The sequence below is a fragment of the Homo sapiens genome, chromosome 9, assembly GCF_000001405.40.
Source record: "Homo sapiens chromosome 9, GRCh38.p14 Primary Assembly".
NCBI lineage: Eukaryota > Metazoa > Chordata > Mammalia > Primates > Hominidae > Homo > Homo sapiens.
In genome coordinates, this window is record NC_000009.12 from 29,823,253 (window position 1) to 29,826,963 (window position 3,711).

At 39.6% G+C, this 3,711-nt stretch overlaps 1 pseudogene; it reads right to left on the bottom strand.

The window, feature by feature from the left end:
* ME2P1 (malic enzyme 2 pseudogene 1) lies at positions 459-3,454 on the bottom strand (annotated as a pseudogene).

A 3,711-nucleotide genomic window follows, 5' to 3' on the forward strand; every position in this document is an offset into this window, starting at 1 on the left:
GATTCAAAAAACAAAGAGGTTGAAAGTAAACGGATGAAAAAGATATAATATGCAATCAGTAAACAAAAATGAGCTGCAGTGCTACCCTAAGACAGTAGAGTTAAGACAAAAGTTTTTAGTAAACAATGAGAAAATTTTGTAATGATAAAGGGGTAAATCTACCTTTAAGATTTAATAACTACAAATGCATTTAATAAAGCCCTCAAATTCTGTCAGCAAAACCTGACAGAATTGAAGGAGGAAGAAACAATTGAAAAAAAAATTGTTAGTGACTTCAATACTCATTTTCAATACTAGATGGAACAAGTAGGAAGATCCCCACAAAACAGAAGGCTTAAACAACTATTGTGGCCACTCCCCAGAGACAGAATAGATGCCTACACTCTCAAATTTGGCTCAGATATCGAGATTGATAACACCACATATGTACCAAGAGGGTATAAAAATGATCTTTTTTAAAAAAATTTATTTAATTAAAAAAGATTACACTATTTTTTGTTTGTTGGTTGGTTTTGCTTTTTTTTTTTTTTTTTTTTCTGAAATGGACTCTCACTCTGTTGCCCAGGCTAGAGTCAGTGGCGCAATCTTGGCTCACTGCAACCTCTGCCTCCTGGGTTCAAGTGATTCTCCTGCCTCAGCTTCCTGAGTAGCTGTGACTACAGGCACACGCCACCATGCCCAGCTAATTTTTGTATTTTTAGTAGAGACGGGGTTTCGCCAAATTGACCAGACTGGTATTGAACTCCTGACCTCGTGATTTGCCCGCCTCGGCCTCCCAAAGTGCTGGGATTACAGGCGTGAACCACTGGTCCCAGTCCTCACTGTGATTTTTATACACTGTTGAAAACAATGACTTTTATTTATTTAAAGGCAGCAGTAGTTCCCATTACTCTCATAATGTTATAGCCAAGCCTTGATTTAGTTCCAGAAAATAAATAGAGTAAATTTTTAATATTTCTCTAGCTCTGTCTTCTGTAAGAGAATTTCAGAGTATGAAGGAAAGATGAAGCAGACATAGAAGAACATTTTTAGATACTGACCATTTTTCCTTGAATTTGGTGAAAATTTAGTTTCTTTCCCAAATTCTGCACTTCTATACATAAAAGTAAATTTCTATTTTAGTAGCTCTAAAAGAACTAGGTGAGAGAGGATTATTACCCATAATAGTAAATAGCAAGTACTTTGGCAAGTCTGAATTAGAGTACAAGTGAAGACATTCACAAACATCCTTTTTCCATCTCCTGGATGTGGTATGGTCTTTATGTTAGAATTAAAGCATCACAATTAACTGATTGTAGGGTGCTGGTGGGCAATGCAATCCATCAACATGTCTACCCCAACAGATGTGGAGACATATGGAACAAATATGTTAACCAAAGTGGTCAGGAGAACAAAACACAGAAAACACCATAAAACTGAGGACATTATCTCTTCTTGTCTGAAAAAAGGGGTTCCCTGGAGCACAGAAAGTATTTATCAGGGGAATGCTTCTATTCTGTTATCACAGGAGGGCTTGATGCAGATTCTGGCCACTCACACACATCTGGCAGCAGGGAATCATATTCACTCCATCATATTCTTTCTTTAACATATTGGGCCTTGTCTTCAGGTTCTGGGTATTGAGAAAGCCATTTTATTAGCATACAGGTATTCTGTAACTTTAATAGCAATGTTAATAGAAACTTTCTGAATATTAGCAAGTGGTAAGTAAAGTCTCCCTCGGGCTAGCGCGTCATCCGTCACGTGGCTTGTCAATGCCTTTGCAGCTTCTAGGAAAACATTGTCACTAATTTGCTGGGTGTTACAGAGAATAACAGCTAAAGTCACACCTGGAAAAATATATACATTGTTTCCTCGATCTGGTGTAAAGATTCGCCCATCTGTGAGTTTCACTGGCCCAAATGGACTGCCACTGGCAAACAAACATTTGCCCTCTGTAAGTGTATATGCTTCTCCAGCCGTGCACTCCTGCACTCCGCCTGTGCTGTAGGATTACTTAATGCAAATATTACAGGCCTTTCATTGATACAGCCAATGGCTCTGATTACATCAGGAGTGAAAAGACGGCCAGCACCTGCAACTCCAATTGTAGTTGAAGTCTTCATTATATTCACTGCATCTTCAAAAGTATCAGGTATGCTCTCTGGGACTGGGTAAGTAAATGGTTCCTGATAACAATCTATTTTTGCTTTCTGCCCCTAAACTAATAAACCATACTTGTCAAACATCCAGATTTTCTTTTGTGCCTCTTCTTCTGACAGGCCATTTTCTACCATAGACATACTACAAGATTTGCAATTCTAAGAGTAATCTCTCCTGCTCCAAGGAATAAGATTTTGTGTTCGGAGATTGGTTTACTAGTAACTTTTTGTGTTGCAAGAAGACCTATTAGAGCTACTGCAGCTGTCCCTTGAATATCATCATTGAAAGTGCAACATTTTTATTGGTATTTTCTCAAGAATCTGAATGCATTATGATGTCCAAAACCTTCAAACTGAAGGAGTGTGTTCCAGCCATATCTGTCAGTAATAGCTTTCATAAACTCATCAATTGGATCATCAGACTGTTGTGTGCGATCTCGTTTCTGGTACAAGCCCATGTAAAATGTGCCTTTTAAGAGTGCGATATTATCAGCTCCCACATCAATACACACCAGAAGGCATCTATCAGGCCATATTCCTGGACAAACTGTATACAAACAAATTTTTCCTACTGGAATTCCCATTCCATAGACACCCAGATCTCCATGACCCAGAATTCTCTCTCCATCAGTCACTAAAACAGCCTTAACATGATTTTCTGGCCACTTATCCACAATTGATCTAACATGACCTCTGTCTGAGATGGAAATAAATAATCCCTTAGGTCTTCTAAAGAGGTGTCCACACTGGGAGCAGACAAGACCAACCGTCGGTGTATATGCAATTGGCATTAAACTCTCCGTGTCATCTTGCAGTATTCTATAAAACAATTTATCATTTCTTTCTTGTATTCCCATTATGTAGATATAGTTTTCCGAAGGGCTAGTCATTTTTTTCAAGTTTCTATGGAATCGTAAGGCTTGAATATCTTATGTCTGTATTTGGGGAGGTAGAAGCCCTTGAAGACCAAGCATCTGTCGTTCTTGTAAAGTAAATGCCATTCCCTTGTTTGTTCTTGGATTCAGCATAAGTGGCTTGCCTTTTTCTTTTATGTGTAAATGTAGACATGCCAAAGTACAAGTGGTGGAAACTACGCTTAACCCGGACAACATCTTTTCTTTCACCAGAGGTCTGGCGCCACAACAGGCGGTGCTGTGGGCAAAGAGGCAGCGCTTTGCCGCCCGCCCTGGCGATGCTAAGCTCTCGCGCCGCCGGGCCCTCCCCTTCTGCGAGCCTCCTGGAGTCCACGCCAACTCAGACTCGCACTGGCGCGGGAGGCCCCACACTCTGAGGTAGACCGGTGAGAGCGGCCGGTGAGGAGAGGGTGCAGGGCCGGGTGGGCACGGCCTACTAGATCTTTTTAAACGTAAATTTTCCTTTTATATTTTTAAATTTTTTTTCTTCTATTGGAGGTATTTGCCACTTTCAATTAATTCATACGAATTCTTTATAAATTAAGGTAATTGAAACTTTACATTATCTGTTCCAAATATTTTTCTCTCTTTTCCTTTTTCTTACTCTATTAGCCATAAATGACTGATCTGATGTAGTGAAGTACATCAACATTTTC